This window comes from Homo sapiens, chromosome 19 (genome assembly GCF_000001405.40).
Source record: "Homo sapiens chromosome 19, GRCh38.p14 Primary Assembly".
Taxonomy (NCBI): domain Eukaryota; kingdom Metazoa; phylum Chordata; class Mammalia; order Primates; family Hominidae; genus Homo; species Homo sapiens.
In genome coordinates, this window is record NC_000019.10 from 52,680,365 (window position 1) to 52,702,629 (window position 22,265).

The following is a 22,265-nucleotide window of genomic DNA, read 5'->3' on the forward strand; positions in this document are numbered from 1 at the left end:
GGCATTTCCACTCCTCCAAAGAGAATTCTATAGCCACATCCCTGAAAGTAAAATGTCCCTAAAATGAAACACACATTTCCACAAAACATCATGGAGGAGTCAGTTATCACCTTCCCACAAAATGAGAAAAGAGAAAATAAGTACTAATTTGATCAAAGACTGTGTTCTGACAAACCCACGTTAAGGTATTTTGGCACATTTTTTCTCCACAGTTGTGTTTTATTGTACTTTTCCACAAAATATTTTTTTTTTTTTTTTTTTTTTTTGAGACGGAGTCTCGCTCTGTCGCCCAGGCTGGAGTGCAGTGGCGCGATCTCGGCTCACTGCAAGCTCCGCCTCCCGGGTTCACGCCATTCTCCTGCCTCAGCCTCCCGAGTAACTGGGACTACAGGCGCCCGCCACTACGCCCGGCTAATTTTTTGTATTTTTAGTAGAGACGGGGTTTCACCGTGTTAGCCAGGATGGTCTCGATCTCCTGACCTCGTGATCCGCCCGCCTCGGCCTCCCAAAGTGCTGGGATTACAGGCGTGAGCCACCGCGCCCGGCCTCCACAAAATATTTTAAGATCCCTTAAGTCACTGTGGATGTCTCGGTTTTATGGACAATGTAAAAAATATACAAATAAAAAGGAAACACAGGGCTTGGTGTGGTGGCTCATGCCTGTAATCAAAACACTTTGGGAGGCCAAGCCGGGCAGATCATTTGAGGTCAAGAGTTGGAAACCAGCCTGGCCAACATGGTAAAACCTCTTCTCTACTAAAAATATAAAAAGTAGCCAGGCATGGTGGCAGGCACCTGTAATCCCAGCTACACAGGAAGCTGAGGTAGGAGAATCTCGAGCCCAGGAGACGGAGGCTGCAGTGAGTTGAGATCACACCACTGCACTCCAGCCTGGGTGACAGAGTGAGACTTTCTCAAAAAAAAAAAAAAAAAAAAAGCAAACGAACATAGAGTTTTCTCTACAGATAGTATGTTCAACATAACAGGTGATATTCATTACCTAGATGAGCTGAAATACAAGTGGTGTCTAGAGAGGACAAAGTCCAATGAATTTGATAGAAAAGAAAAGAGAGTAAAGTCCAAAACTGAAAACTGTTGTGATGACAGCAATAGCCATGAATAACATTTTTGAATGCTTCCCATGTGCTATACACTGTTCTAAGTGCTTCCCATGTCTTAAGCCATAAAATAACATACTGTCCCATGAAGAAAGATCTGTACTTGGAGACAAGTGCATCACACATACTAGGAAAATTACCACAAATCAAATAGCTAAAAATGTCAACACAAGCACTGAATCCAGATGTCTGGGATTCAGATTTGAATATAACCACCTAAGTAAAAGATACAGCTTCAAAACTAAACTGACACAGGTTTATCTAATGGAGAGAACATGAAATAGGTTCAAGGGTAAGAACATGGAGCATCCTACAAGGTCATTGAATGGACACACAGGGCATGAATATAATACTGTACAATCCTTCTTACTATTTTTCCTTTTAAGACAGAGTCTCACTCTGTCAACCAGCCTGAAGTGCAGTGGCACAATCTCAGCTCACTGCAACCTCGTTTGCCCAGGTCTAAGCAATTCTCCTGCCTCAGCCTCCCAAGTAGCTGGGATTACAGGCACCTGCCACCACACCCAGCTAATTTTTGTATTTTTAGTAGAGACGAGGTTTCACCATCTTGGCCAGGCTGGTATTGAATTCCCGACCTCATGATTCACCCTCTTCAGCCTCCCAAAGTGCTGGGATTACGGGCATGAGCCACCGTGCCTGGCCTGTTTTTACTATTAACTCATTATTGTGATAGTTGACAACAATGAAAAATACTTAAAATTATTAAAATTATAAAAAAAAAACTTATTGCAAATGATGTGTTTTCTACGTAACCATGGACTTATCCATCCATGTATTCTCCCAAGATGGGAGGATCCCTAGAGGTCAGTAGATCAAGGCTATAGTGAGCTATGATTGCACCACTGCACTTCACCCTGGACAGAATAAAAATACAATATAAAAAATAATTCTGGAAGTGGTGGCTCATGCCTGAAATCCCAACACTTTGGGAGGCTGAGGTGGGCAGATCACAAGGTCAGGAGTTCAAGACCAGCCTGGCCAACATGGTGAAACTCCATCTCTACTAAAAACACAAAAATTACCCAGGCATGGCAGTGCATACCTGTAGTCCCAGCTACTCAGGAGGCTGAGGCAGAATTGCTTGAACCCAGGAGTCAGAGGTTGCACTGAGCTGAGATTGCACCACTGCTCTCCAGCCTAGGCAACAAAGCGAGACTCCATCTCAAAAAACAAGAAAAAGAAAAAGAAAAAGAAAAAGAAAAAGAAAAAGAAAAGATGTAGCTATGTGTGGTGACACATGCCTATCCTTCTAGCTCTTTGGGAGGCTAAAATGGGGATCACTTGAGCCCAGGAGTTCAAGGCTGCTGTAAACTAGAATTTTGCCATTGTACTCCAGACCTGGGCCACAGAGCGACACCTTCTCTCTCTGTCTCTCTTTTTTTTTCTAGATGGAGTCTCTCTCTGTTGCCCAGGCTGGAGTACAGTGGCACCATCTCGGATTACTGCAACCTCCACCTTCCGGGTTCAAGTGATTCTCCTGTCTCAGCCTTTTGAGTAGCTGAGATTATAGGCATGTGCCACCACACCCAGCTAATTTTTGTATTTTTAGTAGAGATGAGGTTTCACCATGTTGGCCAGCTGCTCTCAAACTCCTGACTTCAAGTGATCCACCCGCCTTGGCCTCCCAAAGTGCTGGCATTACAGGGGTGAGCCACCACAGCCAGCCCCACATTTACATTATGGCATCTTGACTTGATCCTCAGCTCCTCAGCTGCCCTGTGACTCTGTGTGTGTGTGTGTGTGTGTGTGTGTGTGTGTGTGTGTGTGTGTGTGTGTGTATGCTCACGTGTTGTGACAGGCAAGGAAAAGCCAGTAGAGCATCATCGCCACTGGCCTGGCAGGAGGAGGTGGCCCTCGGGCTGCAGTTCACTGTGCTGTTTGCACTCTGATTCTTGGAAGAATCTTTCCTGAAGTCACGGAGCCTCCAGCTCCTCCGGAACAGAACTAGTTGTGTAGGAGTGTGTCCTTCATGCCCCTCAGGTCCCTGACCTTCTCCCCACCCTTCCTGAAGGGAATCCAAAGGGAAGGGCAAAGTCCCTGCCCATAATGGCCAAACTGGGTCCTGGTGATGTGCAGAGCATGGAAGACCTGGGAGCTGGAGTGAGGCAGTTCACACAGATGACAAAAATGGAGATGCCTCAGGACTGGCTGAAGATGCAGGGTCTGGTCTGTAGGGCTTTTCTGACCTTAGAGAGGCCTTCTCCTCTTATTTTGACTAAAACAAATTGCCACAGGAAGTTTAGATCAATTAGAGTTGAAATTTCCAGAAGAAATGTGGGAACATCCTCACATTTGCCCCAGCCCCTCAGTCTTCCGAGGACACCTCAGCATCTAAACTGCAACCCCAGAGTAGGTGCTGCTGTTGTCCTGTGGCCAAGATGGTAATTGTGCATCCTTCAAGTAAGGGAGACACAACACACAAAGTAATCCATGCAGAAGGGTGTTTCTGGGCGGGCACAGTGACTCCCGTCTGCAATTCCAGTACACCGGGAGACCAAGGCAGGTGGATCACCTGAGGTCACGAGTTTGAGATTAGCCATGCCAACATGGTGAAACCCTGTCTCTACTAAAAATACAAAAATTGAGCTGGGTGCAGGGCTCATGCCTGTAATCCTAGCACTCTGGGAGGCCGAGGCTGGTGGATCACTTGAGGTCAGGAGTTTGAGACCAGCCTGGCCAACATCGTGAAACTGCATCTCTACTAAAAACATAAAAAGTAGCCTGGCTTGGTGGGCATCTGTAATCCCAGCTACTCGGGAGGCTGAGGCAGGAGAATTGCTTGAACTCTGGTGGTGGAGGTTGTAGTGAGCCGAGATCACACCACTACACTCCAGCCTGGGTGACAGAGTGAGACTCAAAAATAAAATATAATAAAATAAAAATAAAAATACAAAAATTAACCAGGTGTGGTGGCACACCCCTATAATCCCAGCTACTTGGGAGGCTGAGGCACAAGAATCACTTGAAGCTAGGAGACAGAGATTGCAGTGAGCCAAGATCACAAGAGTGCACTCATAGTTTGGACAATAGAGTGAGACTCTGTCTAAAAAAAGAAAAAAAAAGGAAAGAAAGAAAAAGTGCTTCTGATATGATTGATGCAGAGATAATAAAACCTGAGTAACGTGATAGAGACTGGTGGGCAGAGGGAACTTCAGATGTGGGTGGGAGGGCATGGGAGACAGCTCTGAGCCTAGAACTGAAGGAGGAGAAAGGGACAATGCAGTGATCATTTAGGGACATAGGGTAAGAGCAGGGACAATGACCTGAGACAGAAAAGGTTTTGGTGTTTGGGAAAAAAAAAATGTGACTGGGGCAGAGGGAGTCATGAGATGAGGGCAAGCTCCCAGGAGGCTGGACACTGGCAGGGGCCCTGGACACAGGGCTGTGGAGCCACAGTGAGGAGTTGGGCTTTTGTCCTGGGGAACACGGGAAGCCGGTGGAGGGTTCCCTGCCAGGCACTGACATGACCTGCTTTAGATTTGGCTGTGATGTCCTCATACAGAGAAAGGCCCCGAAGATGGTCTCTGTGTCTGAGTCTACCGCTCTGTTTCTTCCATTCTTCTGCTTTTCTTCATTTTTGGGGTACTGCATCCCATTTAAAATTCTAGTTACAACTGGGCACTCCCCTCTCCCAGAAGAAAAGCCACACCCAGACACCCACTCTATTTTGCCAATCATTTCAGGGGCCAGGGTCACTCAGGGTGAGCTTTTCTGGTCTAGCCCCTCATCTCCAAGTTGCAGGGACGCTCACTGGGCTCAGAGCGGGGACATTTTCACCGAGTTACCCTGAGAAGATCTGAGATGAGTGAGAAGGTGTGTCTGAATTCTTACATGGGGGCCTGGAAGGGCTAACGGGAAGGGTTGGTCTTTATCACCCCTATCCTTGAAAATTACAGAAGCATCTTTCAAATACCTGGGCTAAAGAAACTTCCTTTACAAAGTTCTGATGCCACTGATTCCTGACATTTAATTCTTCCTTAAAAAAAAATCACAGTCACATTCATAAAATGCAGAAGTGTGAACACACAGTAATTGACCTTGAAAACAGGGAAAGAAAGTCAGCTGTAGAACTAAGACGTAAGCGAACTGTTTCAATCAAGAATATATGGGTGGTCAGGCACGGTAGCTCTTGCCTGTAATCCCAGCACATTGGGAGGTCGAGGTGGGCAGATCACCTGAGGTCAGGAGCTCGAGACCAGCCTGGCAAACATGGTGAAACCTTGTCTCTACTAAAAATACAAAAAATGAGCCAGGCATGGTGGCAGGCAACTGTAATCCCAGCTACTCAGGAGGCTGAAGCAGGAGAATCACTTAAATCCTGGAGGCAAATGTTTCTGCAAGCTGAGATGGCACCATTGCACTTCCAGCCTGGGGAACAAGAGTGTAACTGTCACAAAAAAAAAAAAAAAAAAAAAAAAAAAAATACAGGAGTGCTTCTGGAACAGCATTCCATGCCAATCCAACCCATCTTTCAACATTTGTCCAAACGCACCAGAGGGCCTTGAGGGAAACATGAACTTAATAGCTCCCAGCTCAAGATTTTAACAAATGACATAAGGAAAGAAAACTGAAAAATAGACTAACTGGTTAAACTGCATTTTGATGTTAAGGTAAAAGGTCACTGACATCTTTACCAGGTACACACTGAAACAATCAAACTTCTGTATGAGGTACCAAAGTTTTCCAATAAATAATAAAAACTAGAAAGCATGCAGACCTCGATCTGAACTGGATGCAACTAATTTCAAACCGAAACTATTTTTAAATTGTTTTAAAAAAAAATCTAACAAACTCTGAGGTCAACGGGAACTTAACTGGAACATATACATGTACAGAAAGGAATGATGTGAGCTGGTTATAGGATGCCACAAAGCCATCTTTCAGAAGTGATTAAGTATTAAAAAAGATACTCTTAAAACTAAGATTTTTCTCAAACTCCAACTGCAAAAAAATTACATATATATATATATATATATATAAATAAATGAGAAACCAGAAAGAAAAAAAAAAAGAAATCTATTACACAACAAGAACAAAAGCACTTTTGATACCCCTTTTATTTTTTATTTTTTGTTTGTTTGTTTTTCTGAGATGGAGACTCGCTATGCCACCCAGGCTGCAGTGCAGCAACATGATTTCAGCTCACTGCAACCTCTACCTCCCAGGTTCAAGTGATTGTGTACCTCATCTTCCTGGGCAGCTGGAACTACAGGTGCACGCCACCATGCCTGGCTAAGTTTTGTATTTTTCATAGAGACGGCGTTTCACCATGTTGGCCAGGCTGCTCTTGAACTCCTGACCTTACGTGATTCTCTCACCTCGGTCTCCCAAAGTGCTGGGATTACAGGCATGAGATACCACACCTGGCTTTGATGTCCATTTTAGAAAGTACTATGGGCTGGGTGCAGTGGCTCACATCTGTAATCCCAGCACTTTGGGAGATCGAGGTGAGCAGATCACCTGAGGTCAGGAGTTTGAGACCAGCCTCTCTAACATGGAGAAACCCTGTCTCTACTAAAAATACAAAATTGGCCCAGAGTGGTGGCGCATGCCTGTAATCCCAACTACTCAGGAGGCTAAGGCAGGAGAATTGCTTGAACCCAGAAAGCAGAGGTTGCACTAAGCTGAGATTGCAACATTGCCCTCCAGCCTGAGCAACAAGAGTAAAACTCCATCTCAAAAAAAAAAAAAAAAGTACTATGTAGGCCAGGCGCAGTGCCTCAACCCTGTAATCCCAGTACTTTGGGAGGTCAAAGCAGGAGGATCCTTTGAGCCCAGGATTTTGAGACCAGCTTGGGAATTTAAAACCCCGTTTTACAATTATATATATAGATATATAATTTATATAGCTATATAAATTATAATATAAATTATAATTTATATATATATAATTTATATAGCTATATAAATTATAATATAAATTATAATTTATATAGCTATATAAATTATAATATAAATTATAATTTATATATCTATATAAATTATAATTTATATAGATATATAAATTATATATAAATTTTATATATAAATTATATATATAAATTATATGTGTAAATTTTATATATATATAAATTTTATATATATATATATATAATGTATATATATATAATGTGTATATATATATATAATGTATATATATATATATATATATATAATGTATATATATATATAACTAGCCGGGCTTGGTGGCTCATGTCTGAGGTCCCAACTACTCAGGAGGCTGAGGTAGGAGGATCACTTGACCCCAGGGGGCCAAGGCTGCAGTTAGAGGAGATCACGCCACTGCACTCCAGCCCGAGTGATACAGCCAGACCCTGTCTCAAAATATTAATTAATTAAATTAAAAGTATTGTGTAATAACAGAAAGTGATTTTTGTTGCACTTCACTGCCCCACGTCCTACCCCACCCTGGGAAAAGGGAAGAGAGTAACTTCCAACTCAATAAGTCACTGCTCTCTGGCTGAATAGGGATTCCAACTGGAAGCTAACCTCTGATGCCAAGATTTACAGAATGTACATGTCTCATAGACAGGAATTTTAAAATTCTCAATCTCATCTTTATAATTTAATCAAGTTTTAAATTATTAGATTATATACACAGAAGTCAACATGTCACAACTAATCATAGCCAATAAACTCACCTACTCATCTGATCCCAAAGTCCCCCTGCCCCTTCTTTTCTTTGGTAACAGGGTCTCACTCTGTTGACCAGGCTGCAGTGCAGTGGCATGATCTTGGCTCACTGCAGCCTGGACCTCCCGAGCTCAAGTGATCCTCCTCCCTTGGCCTCCAGAGTAGCTGGGATTACAGGTGCGCACCATCATACCCGATTAATTTTTTTTTTTTTTTGGCAGAGATAAGGATCTCACTATGTTGTGCAGGCTGGTCTAGAACTCCTGGACTCAAGCAATCCCCCTGCCTCAGTCTTCTAAAGTTCTGGGATTACAGGCATGAACCACTGTACCCAGCCTCTCTTTCTTCATTACTTTGCTTCCTTCCCTGATTCTGTACGTATCTCTCATTCTCCCCTTCTCTCTCTAGCTCTTGTTTTATTTTCCCCCGGGGTTCTGCTCCTCATTTTGTACCTCTCTCCTCTCCTGCTGTTTATCCCCTTCTTCACTCTATTCCTTCTCTTCCACCTCTTCTGCTCCATCCTTGTAACTTATCTAACATCTTGCTGCTCTTCTCCCCAATCTTTTGATCATCCTCTATCTCTATATGGACAGAAATTTAAAAATAATAAGTACTGCATTTATTCACTCCAAGAAAAGTAAAAGCTAAGGCCCACAATGTGGCAAGGCAAGGTTTAAAAATAAAAAGAAAAGAACAAGTTTTCCTCTGCCTGTCAAGCTCACATCAAGAACGGTTACAGGATAACGCTGTCCGAATAGCCAAGTCTAAATGAATGGGCTCCAGACACCCCCACCTTCCAGAGCAAGGTTGAAGGAAAAAAAAAAAAAAAAAAAAAAGAGAGAGATTATTTTACTGTTACTCTTTTTCCAGGCTTCTTAAGCATTATTATGTTTTACAAATGTCTGTATTTAGTCAGTTCTTGTTTTTCCTTTGATGCAGCTACAAGGCCACCGGCAACCCAAGGTCACAAGATATGTTATGCTATAGATTACACAACCTGTCACTGTATAATTAACTGCTTTTGTTTTGCTTTTGTAAGGCCACTTATAAAAACCCTGCTCTGTCTTTGTTCAGTGCTCAGCTTTTTGGATATGAATCCACTGAGCCAGTGCGTACCTAAAATAAACAATTCTGTTTCTCTCATATTGGTCTCTCCATTCTTCAGTTTCCCCTAACACAAATATTTCCGCCTCTTCTCCCATCTCAGCGCCTCCTCTGCTCTCCCTGTTACATTCTCTCTTCCCTGTTATACCCTCATCCCCACTCTCTAGCACTCCAGATCCCCAGGTGTCCTCCCTGCTGTGCTTCTCCCTCTGTTCTCCTTGCCACCAGCACCACTCTGCTCTGTCTGCCCTGGCTCCAAATCCCTCCTCCTCTCCCTCACCCTGATGAGCCTCCCTCTTTGCTGCCCCTCTCCCTACCTTGCTGTCCTTCATGTCTCTGTACATCCAGCTTTTCTCTACATTTCTGCACTTGCTTTTCTCCTCCTGCTTTCTTATCGTTTTCTTTTCACTTTTGCTGTCTCTTGGCAAATCCCTCACCCATCCTCTACTTTGCCATCTCTTATGGCTCTTTCTCATTCTTCTTTTCTCTGTCTCAGGTTTTCCACTGCTCTCTGTCCGTCTCCTGATCCCTTTGGCCCACACAATCACAGGAGGGTTTGGAGTAAGACGCCTGCATCCCGGAGGAGCTTATTTTCCAGGGGCTGGAACTGGGCAGGCAAGAACACCCCGTGTCACAGGACAGGCCCCGGGCACCTCCCCAACGCGGGCTCAGGAGAAGCGGTGACTGCGGAGGAGAGACCTGGGGAGCAGCAGGGCCCGGCACGAGGAGGGAGGTGGGGGGCGACGGCGCCTGAGGACAAGGGTGGGGTCTGCAGGATCCCAGGACTAGGCAGAGGACACGGCCTCCCCGGGACAGGGGCCGCGGCGCTGCGCTTCAGAGGCCGACAAGGGCAAGGCTGGGAGGTGCCCACGGCGGGAATCCACTTCGCGGGTGAGGACGTTAAAAAGCGCGGGGCGGGAGGAGTCTGAAAATGATTTTGAGAAAAAAAAAAAAAAAACAACAACAACTACGCGATAGGAAGTGTATACATTGCCCTAGAGCAGAAAGACAGGGGATGGGACCAACCTCAGGGCGACTTTAGACCCAAAAGGAAGCGACTTCCAGACTCTCACGGGGATGTCTCTATTTGCTCTGGGTGAAGACGGGAGAGAAGTTCCAGATCTGTGGGGACCCTAGGTCCGAGGGACAGAAACGCTGAGGACCTGGGAAATGCAGACTTAATACAAAACAGCGAAACTCACCGCCGCGGTGTGACCGTCACTCCACGCGATCCGCTTCCAGATTTGCGAGAATCTGCGCGCGCAGGACAGAAGCCAGGCCTCGGCGGGCCCCGCGAGGTGGTGGGCGGGGCCTGGGCCGGGTGGCGGCGGGGCGCGAAGCAGAGAGACTTTGCGGTTTAGAACCGGCAGAGGGCGGGGCCGGGGCGGGACCTGTGTGTCTCACATCCTGGCTCCCAGCGCCTCTGTTTTTCGGGTTTGGGAGGCGACAGCGGCCAGGAAGTATGAGGCATGATTCAAAAGCCCTGGAATTTTCTGGAACGGGGATGCAAACTAGAATGTGAAATGCAAAGCCCTGCCAGGGCGGAACATAGGATTTCATGCTGACGGCCCACAGAACAGAACAGAACTCCTCTCCCTTTCTATTCTCCATTCACAAGGGAGGGAGGGTCCGCCCTGTGCTCAGCTTCAGAGACTTCCCTAAAGCCACTGCCTGGGGTGCGGGACGGAGTGCTCAGGCCAGGGAGGAGTGAGGTCACCACCTGCTGCTTAAACACAGCAGGGGTGCAGGCGCGAAGGCGGGAGCCTGAGGTCCCAGCTACTCAGGAAGTAGGAGCAGGAAGATCGCTGAGCCCTGGGGTCCAGGCCAGCCTGGGCGACAAAGTAACACCCCCTCCCGCAAGGCCACCTTCCTTGTCTCCCTCTCTCTCCGTCTCTCTCTCTCTCTCTCTCTCTCGCTTTTTAAACCTTTTTAAATAAAATTTTTGATGGTGTGACATAGGGATCCAACATTATTCTGTTCCGTGTGGATATCCAGTTAGTTGTTCCAGCACATTTGTGGAAGAAATCTATTACTTTTTTTTCACGTTTTTCTTTTCTTTTTCTTTGAGGGAGTCTCCCTCTGTCGCCCAGGCTGGCGTGAAGGGGCGTGATCTCTGCTCACTGCGACCTCTGCCTCCTGGGTTGAAGCGATTCTCCTGCCTCAGCCTCCGGAGTATTACAGTATTACTGGTATTAGAGGCACGAGCGACCATGCCCGGCTAATTTTTGTATTTTTGATAGAGGCGGGCTTTCACCATGTTGGCCAGGCTGGTCTCAAACTCCGAACTTCAAGTAATCTACCTGCCTCGGCCTCCTAAAGTGCTGGGACTACAGGCGTGGGCTACCTTGCATAGCCTAAGGAATGCTCTTTACTGTTTAAACGTTGAGAAAATATAATTGAAAACAAAGAAAATCTTCCCCCAAATGGGTAATTATCTCCACGACAACAGAGAAATAAATAAAAACCATTTTAATAAAGAACCTTAGACTCAAATGTGATGGGAAATAGAGGCAAACAGCTATGAGGTTGAAAAGAGAGAAAGAAATGTCACTGTTCTATACAACCCATTAAGCACATGTTTTCAAGATAAACACTAATCAGTCCTCAGGGAAGGGGATTTGACAACCCCTTGGGTCACACATACTTCATCCTGGCTTTACTTGGTAATGGAGGTGACCATCTGTGTCAGCTAATTAGCTTCATCCCGAGGGAGGGGGAAAAACCCTAACCCATGTCTTTTTGACAAGTGTGAGTTTCACAACATGGGGACAGGTGCCCTCTCTGGTGAGACTCCTACAATACGACAGACACTGATGTCAGAGGTAAATAATAAAATTTAGAATATATGATTAAGTGCAGAGTTTGTTTGAACACAAAGCTTGGAAATAGCCACCTGGAAACATCAACTTCAAATGAATAGGATCAGCGTTCTCAGGTGGAGACGTTAAGATTTTACACACATAGGAAAAGACAGAGAAGCTTTACCAGAATCACATTTTCCATTCAAGACCAGTGCCTAGGGTGCAGCAACTTGACTGGTGATGGATTGATACACTTCAAGGAAGGTTACTTTATCACTCCATAAGAAGGGACAATGATGCCAAAAGGTCTTAACTCTGGGGCTGCTTAGTCTTCCTAATTATTTACAGAATAACCTTTTTTTTTTTAGTTGTTTGTTTGTTGTTGCTGTCATTTTTTCAGACAGCGTCTAGCTCTGTCACCCAGGCTGGAGTGTACTGGCACTATCTCGGCTCACTGCAACCTCCACCTCCCGGGTTCAAGCAGTTCTCCTGCCCCAGTCAGCCAGGTAGCTGCGATTACAGGCCAGTGCGACCACGCCTGGCTAATTGTTTTCTGTTTTTAGTAGATACTGGGTTTCACCATGTTGGGCTTCTCCATTAATCTCTCCTGCACACTTCAGACCACATCCACACACACTTAAATCAACTTCAGTTCAGAGATGAGAAGCAAAAACCTAGAGAGGACACATCCACAGTTACTCACCAGGCTGAGGTGGGAGGATTGCTTGACCCTGGAGAGCAGAGGTTGAAGTGACTCAAGATCGCACCACTGCCCTCCAGCCTGGGGGACATAGTGAGACCCCGTTACCCACATCCACCAAAAAGTTGGAAATGCATTGAAATAAGAGACAGCTTCAAGAAACTATAAAAGCAATGCATGCAGAAAATTCAAAGGTCAACCAACATACAGAAACTATGAAGAACTACACAGAAACTCTTGGGCTAAAAATAGAGTAACTAAATGAAAAAACGCAATACATGGGTTCAAAATCAGAATTCATTAGGTAAATTAAAAATTAGTGAAGAGGGGATGGGTGAGGTGGCTCACACCAGGACTTTGGGAGGACAAGGTGGGTGGATCACTTGAGCTCAGGAGTTTGGAGACCAACCTGGCCAATGTGGTGAAACCTTGTCTCTACTAAAAATACAAAGATTAACAGGGTGTGGTGGTGAGCTCCTGTAGTCCCAGCTACTCTAGGGGCTGATACAGGAGAAGCACTTGAACATGGGAGGCAGAGGTTGCAGTGAGCCGAGATCACCCCACTGCCCTCCAGCCTGGGCGACAAAGCAGGACTGTCTCAAAAAATAATAATAATAATAATAATAAAATAGGCCAGGCCTGGTGGCTTATGCTTGTAATCCCACTATAAAAAAAAAATACAGAAAATTAGCCAGGCGTGGTGGTGGGCACCTGCAGTCTCAGCTACTCGGGAGGCTGAGGCAGAAGAATGGCATGAACCTGGGAGGTGGAGCTTGCGGTGAGCTGAGATCATGCCACTGCACTCCAGCCTGGGCGACAGAGCAAGACTCCATCTCAAAAAAAAAAAAAAAAAGAAATTTATCCTTACTACTTACTGTCTACACATAGATAATCAAAGGCAAGTAGTTAAAGACATAGTTAAAAATATGACAAAACTGGCCGGGCATGGTGGCTCAAGCCTGTAATCCCAGCACTTTGGGAGACCGAGGTGGGTGGATCACAAGGTCAGGAGATCGAGACCATCCTGGCTAACACGGTGAATCCCCGTCTCTACTAAAAATACAACAAATTAGCAGGGTGTGGTGGCGGGCGCCTGTAGTCCCAGCTACTCCGGAGGCTGAGGCAGAAGAATGGCGTGAACCCGGGAGGCGGAGCTTGCAGTGAGCCGAGATCAACCCACTGTACTCCAGCCTGGGCGACAGAGCAAGACTTCGTCTCAAAAAAAAAAAAAAAAAAAAAAGACAAAACTGACACATGTGCCCATACAAGTGTAGCATGGATTCAACCCTGATGCCATGTTTAGAAAGTAGTTCCCAGCACTAGGAGGATTTAAAACTCTTATAATAGGAGTTATTATAGTAATAGAAACCTGCTTACTGCTGCCTTGTTTGCTACCTGTACTTCTTCAAACGATAAAAAGCTTCATCGCTATTTTAGTTCACCAAAATGCTTCAGCACAAGTGTACTATATGAATCACTATCAATCTGTTGCACAAAAAGACATAAGCAGCAAAAATAAGAGTGAGAATTCCCACTAATAAAAAGTGAGACTCTCAAAGGGGGGAAATGAGGGAAGAGAGAGAGACCCTCTCATATTGTTTTATATTGTTTTATACTCAGTACCTGTTTTAAGAAAAAAACAAGGAAGTGAAACCAAAGGCAGGCATCCCGATGCCAGGCATCAGACCTAAAACCAGACCTGAAACCAGGCCTCGGCCTGCCTGGCCTAAACCTAGTAATTAAAATTCCACCCCTGACCTAGCAACTGATGTTATCTATAGATCCCAGACATTGTATGGAAGGACATTGTGAAACCTCCTGTTCTGTTCTGTTTCACTCTGACCACCAGCGCATGCACCCCCTGTCACATACCCCCTGCTTGCTCAAATCAATCACTACCCTTTAATGTGAAATCTTTAGTGTTGTGAGCCCTTAAAAGGGACAGAAATTGTTCACTCAGAGAGCTCGGATTTTAAGACAGTAGCTTGCCAATGCTCCCAGCTGAATAAAGCCCTTCCTTCTACAACTCGGTGTCTGAGAAGTTTTGTCTGTGGCTCATCCTGCTACAACCTGAGGGCAGGAGTTCAAGACTAGCTGGGCCAAAATGGTGAAACCCCATCTCTACTAAAAATACAAAAAAAATTAGTTGGGGGTGGTGGCACTGGACTATAATCCCCAACTTTTTGGGAGGCTAAAACAGGAGAATTGCCTGGGAGGCAGAGTTTGCAGTGATCTGAGATCATGCCACTGAACTCCAGCCTGGATAACAGAGACTTTGTCTCAAAAAAAAAAAAAAAAGGCCAGAAGAGGTGGCTCACGCCTGTAATCCCAGCACTTTAAAACGCTGAGGCGGACGGATCACGAGGTTATGAAATCCAGACTGTCATGACTAACAAGGTGAAATACCATCTCTACTGAAAATACCAAAAAATTATCCGGGCGTGGTGGCACTCACGTGTAGTCCCACATACTTGGGAGCCTGAGGTAGGAGAATCACTTGAACCCAGGAGGCAGAGTTTGCAGTGAGCCGAGATCACGCCACAGCACTCCAGCCTGGCTACCGGGTGAGACTCCATCTCAAAAAAAAAAAAAAAAAAAAATTAACCGGCCATGGTGGAACTCACCTGTGGTCCCAGCTACTTGGGAGGCTGAGGTTGGGAAATGGCTTGAGCCTGAAGGAGGTTGCAGTGAGCTAAGATCACGCCATTGCTCTCCAGCCTAAGCGACACAGCAAGACCTTCTCTCAAAATAAAATCAAATATATGAAAACAGAATAACTCAAAGTACAAAAATCCATTTTGTTGATATAGGTCCACAAAATAATAAAACAGAGACTCGCAAGAAACTACATGCTAATAAAAAAAAGTTGTCATTTTCCCCAGATCTTTTCTTTCTTCCTTTTTTTTTTTTTTTTTTTTTTTTTAGACAGGGTCTCGTTCTGTCGCCCAGGCTGCAGTGCAGTAATGCAATCTTGGTTCACTGCAACCTCTGCCTTCTGGGTTCAAGTGGTTCTCCTGCCTCAGCCACAGAGTAGCTGGGATTACCGGTGCCCACCACCATGCCCGGCTAACTTCTGTATTTTTAGTAAAGATGGGGTTTCACCATGTTGGCCAGGCTTGTCTTGAACTCCTGAGCTCAGGTGACCCACCAACCTCAGCTTCCCAAAGTGCTAGGATTACAGACATGAGTCACCACATCCAGCAAATTTTCAAAATATATACATATATGTGTGCCAATGTGTACGTATATGTATGTGTGTGTGTGTGTGTATATATATATATAAAGATTTTTAAAATATAAAAAGTAGCAAGTTTTGTTTAACTGAAGAGGAATCTCATCTTGCTGGAAACGGATACTTTGATAGTTGGGGACAGGGAGGAATCTTGTCAGATCTAAGAAAACAGGAAATGTCCCCTCCTAGAGGAAGCAATCACCCTTTCAACTGCCTGACATGGAGGAATCTTTAGATATCTGTAGGAATGCAGGCATGCTCAGATGCAGCCACTATGGCACTCTTTATACAGAGAAAAATTGCAAAGGACCCACATACTGTCATTCAGCCAATTTCCAATGCAGATGTCAAAGAGCAAGCTAGCCATGTTTACTAACATAACAACATGTAAATTTTCACAACTAGCAGGATGAAATATCAAAGTAAAATATTTACTAAAACACAAAGAAAACAATAGACGCTGGGGTCTAGGTGAGGGTGGAGATGGGGAGGAGAGAGGAGCAGAAAAAATAGCTAATGGGGCTGGGCACAGTGGCTCACGCCTGTAATCCCAGCACTTTGCTAGGGCAAGGGGGTTGGATCACCTGAGGTCAGGAGTTCAAGATCAGCCTGGCCAACATGGTGAAACCCTGTCTCTACTAAAAGTACAAACATTAGCCAGGCATGGAGGCATGTGCTTGTAATCCCAGCTACTCAGGAGGCTGAGGCAGGAGAGTTGCTTGAACCCAGGAGGCAGAGGTTGCAGTGAGCCGAGATCATGCCATCATACTCCAGACTCAAAAAACGAGCAAAACTCAGTGTCAAAAAAAAAAGAAAAGAAAAAAAGCTACTGGGTACTGGGCTTGATACCGGTGTACAACAAACTCCAATGACATGAGTTTGCCTATGTAACAAACCATCACATGTAGCCCCAATCCTAAAGTAAAAACATAACTATAAAACATTTTATTTTTTTAATTTACTACGGAATTATTTTTAAAGTCTCATAATGATGCAGAAATACAGGTGTACAAGACTTGCTCTGACACTTGGCACAGAACTGACAGTAGCGGCTCCCCAGTGAGTTTGGAAAGAGGGTGGAGGACGTGACAGGGAAAGGAGATGCTTTGTGGCAAAGGGTCTGCAGCTTTGCTAAGAGTTTTACTAGAAAACAAATATATCCATCCTGTGATGTTTAAATATCAAAATATATATTTAATAAACATTGGTAGAGCTGAGCACGGTGGCTCGTGCCTGTAATCCCAGCACTCTGGGAGGCTGAGGTGGGTGGATAACCTGAGGTCAGAACTTTGAGGCCACCCTGGCCAACATGGTGAAACCCCATCTCTACTAAAAATACAAAAAAATTAGCCGGGCGTGGTGGCACACGCCTATAACCCCAGCTACTTGGGAGGCTGAGGCAGGAGAATCACTTGAACCCAGAAGACAGAGGTTGCAGTAAACTGAGATCATGTCACTGCACTCCAGCTTGGGTGGCAGAGGCTGACTCCATCTCAAAAAATAAATTGTAACCATTTTTACCAAAAACACCTGTTTCACAAGCCTCTCCACAGTAACCCCACAGTCTCCATGAGCTTAATGTGTTAAGAATGGTTTAATGAATCTCCTGCTATTATTTAGGTTGATTTCCTATTCTTAAACTAATGATGGAATAAAACACCTTCTATCATTCATGTCTGTGTATGAACTTTCCACTCTAATTAGTTCGATTTTTGGAGCCAGAAACACAATAACTCACTCAATTACCTAAAAATGTAGTATGAAAGTGAAGCGGTGGGTTGCCCCTCCACACCTGTGGGTGTTTCTCGTTAGGTGGAATGAGAGACTTGGAAAAGAAAAAGACACAGAGACAAAGTGTAGAGAAAGAAATAAGGGGGCCCAGGGGACCAGGGTTCAGCATATGGAGGATCCCGCCAGCCTCTGAGTTCCCTTCATATTTATTGATCATTTTGGGGTGTTTCTCAGAGAGGGGGATGTGGCAGGGTCATAGGATAATAGTGGAGAGAAGGTCAGCAGATAAACACGTGAACAAAGGTCTCTGCATCATAGACAAGGTAAAAAATCAAGTGCTGTGCTTTAGATATGCATACACATAAACATCTCAATGCCTTACAGAGCAGTATTGCTGCCCGCATGTCCCACCTCCAGCCCTAAGGTGGTTTTCCCCTATCTCAGTAGATGGAACATACAATCGGGTTTTATACCGAGACATTCCATTGCCCAGGGACGGGCAGGAGACGGATGCCTTCCTCTTGTCTCAATTGCAAGAGGCGTGCCTTCCTCTTATACTAATCCTCCTCAGCACAGACCCTTTACGGGTGTCGGGCTGGGAGACGGTCAGGTCTTTCCCTTCCCATGAGGCCATATTTCAGACTATCACATGGGGAGAAACCTTGGACAATACCTGGCTTTCCTAGGCAGAGGTCCCTGCGGCCTTCCGCAGTGTTTGTGTCTCTGGGTACTTAAGATTAGGGAGTGGTGATGACTCTTAAGGAGCATGCTGCCTTCAAGCGTCTGTTTAACAAAGCACATCTTGCACCGCCCTTAATCCATTTAACCCTGAGTGGACACAGCACATGTTTCAGAGAGCATGGGGTTGGGGGTAAGGTCATAGATTAACAGCATCTCAAGGCAGAAGAATTTGTCTTAGTACAGAACAAAATGGAGTCTCCTATGTCTACTTCTTTCTACACAGACACAGTAACAATCTGATCTCTCTTTCTTTTCCCCACATGAAAGCAGGCAGAAAAGATTTTCACTTATTGGTTTCCTTTTCTAGAATTTACCACGTACTTTGTGCACATTAATACGTGACTTCCATTGGCAGCTGCTCTAATCCTGCTCCACAGAGAGCTGACAGTGCATCCATATGTGGCCCCTGAACAATCCCTTCTGCCCAACAGCACTGACACCACGGGACCCTCACCCCGTCTCCATCCATGTCTGGGTGTGAGCCCTTCCCAGGCCCATGCCCAGTGCAGCCTCTTTCCAACTTCATGTCACTAGGTCACCAGAGATGGAATCTAAGCGAGATGAGAGGGACTGAGGGAAGGCATGGGTGAGTGTGAGTAAACGTATCAGGCAGGAAGCTTCAGACTCAGAGAAGATTCCCAACTCCAAGGCCCAGGGTTTCTGAAAGGAAGGAGACAGAACAATCCACCGAGAATATCATCTCACCTGAGGAAGAGCCATCCCTGACTCCTTTGCTTTCCTCTTCCTCTTCCGGGTTTCTTCCTCATGTACCAAGAGTCTTTAGGAGTCAATCCTGAATGTTAAAAATATGTTGTTTGTTGCTCAGAATCAACACACCCCCTCCCTGGAACACAACCACACATGCGAAGTGTCACGCACGTCTGTGGGAAGAGGCCACCAAACACGCTTTGTGTGAGCAACGAGGCTGTTTATTTCACCTGGGTGCAGCCGGGCTGAGTCTGGAAAGAGAGTCAGCAAAGTGTGGTGGGATTATCATTAGTTCTCATAGGTTTTGGGACAGGCGGTGGAGTTAGGGGCAATGCTTTGCAGGCAGGGGGTGGATCTCACCAAGTCCATTCTCAAGGGTGGGGAGGATTACAAAGAGCCTTCTGAAGGGTGGGGGAGATTACAAAGCACATTGATCAGTCAGGGTAGGGCAGAAACAAATCACAATATTGGAATGTCATCAGTTAAGGATATTTTTACAGTTGCTTCAGGCTATCTGGATGTATACGTGCAGGTCACAGGGGATATGATGGCTTAGCTTGGGCTCAGAGGCCTAACTAAAGACCTCACCCTGAGGAAATAGTGCCCCCTGCTGCCCTCCTCACCATGGATGATAAACTCCTACAGGGAAACTCCCGCTCCCCTTCTGGAGGAGTCCACACACAAGCTGCAGCAGTGGGGAGCTGGGCTGGAATGAGCTCCCCTTCAGGGCACAGACCCAGCCCTGACGAAACCCCACGCAGAGGCTGGGTGCGGTGGCTCATGCCTGTCATCCCAGCACTCTAGGAGGCTGTGGCAGGTAGATCGCTTGAACTCAGGAGTTTGAGAACAGCCTGAGCAACATGGTGAAACCCCATCTCTACCAAAAATACAAAACTTCGCCAGGTATGGTGGTGCACGTCTGTGTGTCTGTGGTCCCAGCTACTTAGGAGGCATAGGTGGGAGGATCACTTGACCTGAGGAGTTTGAGAGCAGCCTGGCCAACATGGTGAAACCCTGTATCTACTAAAAATACAAAAATGGGCCGGGCGTGTGGGTCATCCGGTAATCCTAGCACTCTGGAAGGCCGAGGTGTGCTGATTACTTGAGGTCAGGAGATCGAGACCAGCCTGGCCAACATGGTGAAACGCTGTCTCTACTAAATACACAAAAAGTAGCCGGGCTTGGTAAGTGTCTGTAATCTCTGCTATTCAGGAGACTGAGGTAGGAGAATTGCTTGAACCCGGGAGGTGGAGGTCGCAGTGAGCCGAGATGGCGCCACTACACTCCAGTCTTGGTGACAGACAGACTCAAAAATAATATAAAATGGAAGTTAAAATACAAAAATTAGCCGGGTGTGGTGGCAGACACACCAGCTACTTGGGAGGCTGAGGCACCAGAATTGCTTGAACCCAGCAGACAGAGGTTGCAGTGAGCCAAGATCAAGAGGCTGCACTCATAGGCTGAAAGATAGAGTGACTCTGTCTCAAAAAAAAAAAAAAAAAAAAAATGCATTTCTGATGTGATTGATGCAGACAATGAATCCTGAGTAACGTGATACAGACTGATGGACAAGGGAACTACAGCCGGGGGTGGGAGGGCATGGGCGACAGCTCTGAGCCTAGACCTGAAGGAGGAGAAAGTGACAGGGTACGTAGGGTAAAACCAGGGACAACGACCTGAGACAGGAAGGGTTTTGATGTTTGGGAAAAGAGAAAAGCAAATATGACTGGGGCGGAGAGAGTCATGAGATGAGGGCAAGCTCCCAGGAGGAGGCTGGACAGTGGAAGGGGCCCTGGACACAGGGCTGTGGAGCCACAGTGAGGGGTTGGGCTTTTGTCCTGGGGAACACGGGAAGCTGGTGGAGGGTTCCCTGTCAGGGACTGACATGACCTGCTTTAGATTTTGTTGTGATGTCCTCATACAGAGAAAGGCCCCGAAGATGGTCTCTGTGTCTGAGTCTACCTCTGTTTCTTCCATTCTTCTGCTTTTGTTTTTCATTTTTAGGGCACTGCATCCCATTGAAAATTCTAATCACAACTGGGCACTCCTCTCCTCAAAAAAATTTAAAAAAAAAGCCACACCCACACACGCACTCCATTTTGTCAATCATTTCAGGGGTCAAAGTCACTAGGGTTGAGCTTTTCTGGTGTAGCCCCTCATCGCCAAGTTCCAAGGAGGCTCACTGGGGCTCAGATTGGAAGACATTTTCACCAAGTTGCCCTGAGAAGGTCTGAGATGAGTGAGGTGTGCCTGAATTCTTACATGGGGGCCTGCAGGGACTAATGGGAAGGGTTGATCTTATCACCCCCATCCTGGAAAATTAGAGAAGGCTCTTTCACAAACCTGGGCTAAAGAAATTTCTTTTGCCGGGCACGGTGGCTCAAGCCTGTAATCCCAGCACTTTGGGAGGCTGAGGCGGGTGGATCACCTGAGGTCAGGAGTTTGAGGCCAGCCTGACCAACACGGAGAAACCCCGTCTCTATAAAAATACAAAATTAGCTAGGAGTGGTAGTGCATGCCTCTAATCCCAGGTACTTGGGAGGCTAAGGAAGGAGAATCACTTGAACCCGGGAGACGGAGGTTGCAGTGAGCCGAGATCGTGCCACTGCACTCAAGCCTGGGGGACAAGAGCGAAACTCCGTCTCCAAAAAAAAAAAAGAAAAGAAAAAAAAGAAACAAACTTCTTTTGCAAGGTTCTGAGGCCATTGACTCCTGACAGTTTGTTCTTCCTTACAAGAAAATCACAGTAACATTTATAAAATGCAGAGTTGTGAACACATAGCTATTGACCTTGGAAACAGGGAAAGAAGGTCAGGTGTACAACTAAGACATAAGCAAATTGTTTCAATCAAGAATACATGAGTGGTCAGGCACGGTGGCTCACGCCTGTAATCCCAGCACTTTGGGAGGTCGAGGTGGGCAGATCACCAGAAGTCAGTAGTTTGAGACCAGCCTGGCCAACACAGTGAGAGCCTGTCTCTACTGACAATGCAAAAACCTAGCCAGGAGTGGTGGAGGGCACCTGTAATCCCAACTACTTGGTAGGCTGAGGCAGGAGAATCACTTGAACCCAGGAGGCAGACGTTGTAGTGACACCAGATCGCACCATTGCAGTCCAGCCTGGGCAACAAGAGCAAAACTCCATCTCAAAAAAAAACCCCCAAAAAAACAAAAAGAAAAACAAAAAAAAAACCGAGGCTGGGAGCAGTGGCTCACACCTGTAATCTCATCACATTGGGAGGCCAAGTCGGGTGGATCACAAGGTCAGGATTTGAGACCAGCCTGACAAACGTGATGAAACCCCGTCTCTACTAAAAATACAAAAATTAGCCAGGCATGCTGGTGGGTGCCTGTAATTCCAGCTACTCAGGAGACTGAGGCAGGAGCATCACTTGATCCCAGGAGGCAGAGGTTGCAGTGAGCTGAGATTGCACCACTGCCCTCCATCCAAGGCGACAGAGCAAGATTCCATTTCA

General features: G+C 45.9%; 2 protein-coding genes across 10 annotated transcripts in view, besides 6 other annotated features; both read right to left on the reverse strand.

Moving 5' to 3' along the window:
• ZNF83 (zinc finger protein 83) overlaps positions 1 to 10,132 on the reverse strand; it is a 78,120-nt gene extending 67,988 nt beyond the window's left edge. For all 9 annotated transcript variants that reach the window (NM_001277948.2, NM_001277946.2, NM_001277949.2 and 6 more), the window contains exon 1: positions 10,079 to 10,132. The gene's annotated coding sequence lies outside the window, so the exon portion shown is untranslated. The remainder of the gene's footprint in view (positions 1 to 10,078) is intronic.
• LOC122539214 (Zinc finger protein LOC122539214) overlaps positions 1 to 10,132 on the reverse strand; it is a 40,050-nt gene extending 29,918 nt beyond the window's left edge. Inside the window, exon 1 of the mRNA NM_001396016.1 lies at positions 10,079 to 10,132. The gene's annotated coding sequence lies outside the window, so the exon portion shown is untranslated. The remainder of the gene's footprint in view (positions 1 to 10,078) is intronic.
• Positions 9,266 to 9,801: an enhancer, noted in NCBI's record as "H3K27ac hESC enhancer chr19:53192883-53193418 (GRCh37/hg19 assembly coordinates)". NCBI's record gives its function as "activates a minimal SCP1, AML or CMV promoter by ChIP-STARR-seq in primed H9 embryonic stem cells {active_cell/tissue: H9 hESC(primed)}" and the evidence as "EXISTENCE:reporter gene assay evidence [ECO:0000049][PMID:30033119]".
• Positions 10,095 to 10,304: a silencer, noted in NCBI's record as "silent region_10997". NCBI's record gives its function as "represses an Ori minimal core promoter by ATAC-STARR-seq in GM12878 lymphoblastoid cells {active_cell/tissue: GM12878}" and the evidence as "EXISTENCE:reporter gene assay evidence [ECO:0000049][PMID:35858748]".
• Positions 12,996 to 13,531: an enhancer, noted in NCBI's record as "H3K27ac-H3K4me1 hESC enhancer chr19:53196613-53197148 (GRCh37/hg19 assembly coordinates)". NCBI's record gives its function as "activates a minimal SCP1, AML or CMV promoter by ChIP-STARR-seq in naive H9 embryonic stem cells {active_cell/tissue: H9 hESC(naive)}" and the evidence as "EXISTENCE:reporter gene assay evidence [ECO:0000049][PMID:30033119]".
• Positions 15,766 to 16,577: an enhancer, noted in NCBI's record as "H3K27ac hESC enhancer chr19:53199383-53200194 (GRCh37/hg19 assembly coordinates)". NCBI's record gives its function as "activates a minimal SCP1, AML or CMV promoter by ChIP-STARR-seq in naive H9 embryonic stem cells {active_cell/tissue: H9 hESC(naive)}" and the evidence as "EXISTENCE:reporter gene assay evidence [ECO:0000049][PMID:30033119]".
• Positions 17,389 to 18,199: an enhancer, noted in NCBI's record as "NANOG-H3K27ac-H3K4me1 hESC enhancer chr19:53201006-53201816 (GRCh37/hg19 assembly coordinates)". NCBI's record gives its function as "activates a minimal SCP1, AML or CMV promoter by ChIP-STARR-seq in naive H9 embryonic stem cells {active_cell/tissue: H9 hESC(naive)}" and the evidence as "EXISTENCE:reporter gene assay evidence [ECO:0000049][PMID:30033119]".
• Positions 18,200 to 19,010: an enhancer, noted in NCBI's record as "NANOG-H3K27ac-H3K4me1 hESC enhancer chr19:53201817-53202627 (GRCh37/hg19 assembly coordinates)". NCBI's record gives its function as "activates a minimal SCP1, AML or CMV promoter by ChIP-STARR-seq in naive H9 embryonic stem cells {active_cell/tissue: H9 hESC(naive)}" and the evidence as "EXISTENCE:reporter gene assay evidence [ECO:0000049][PMID:30033119]".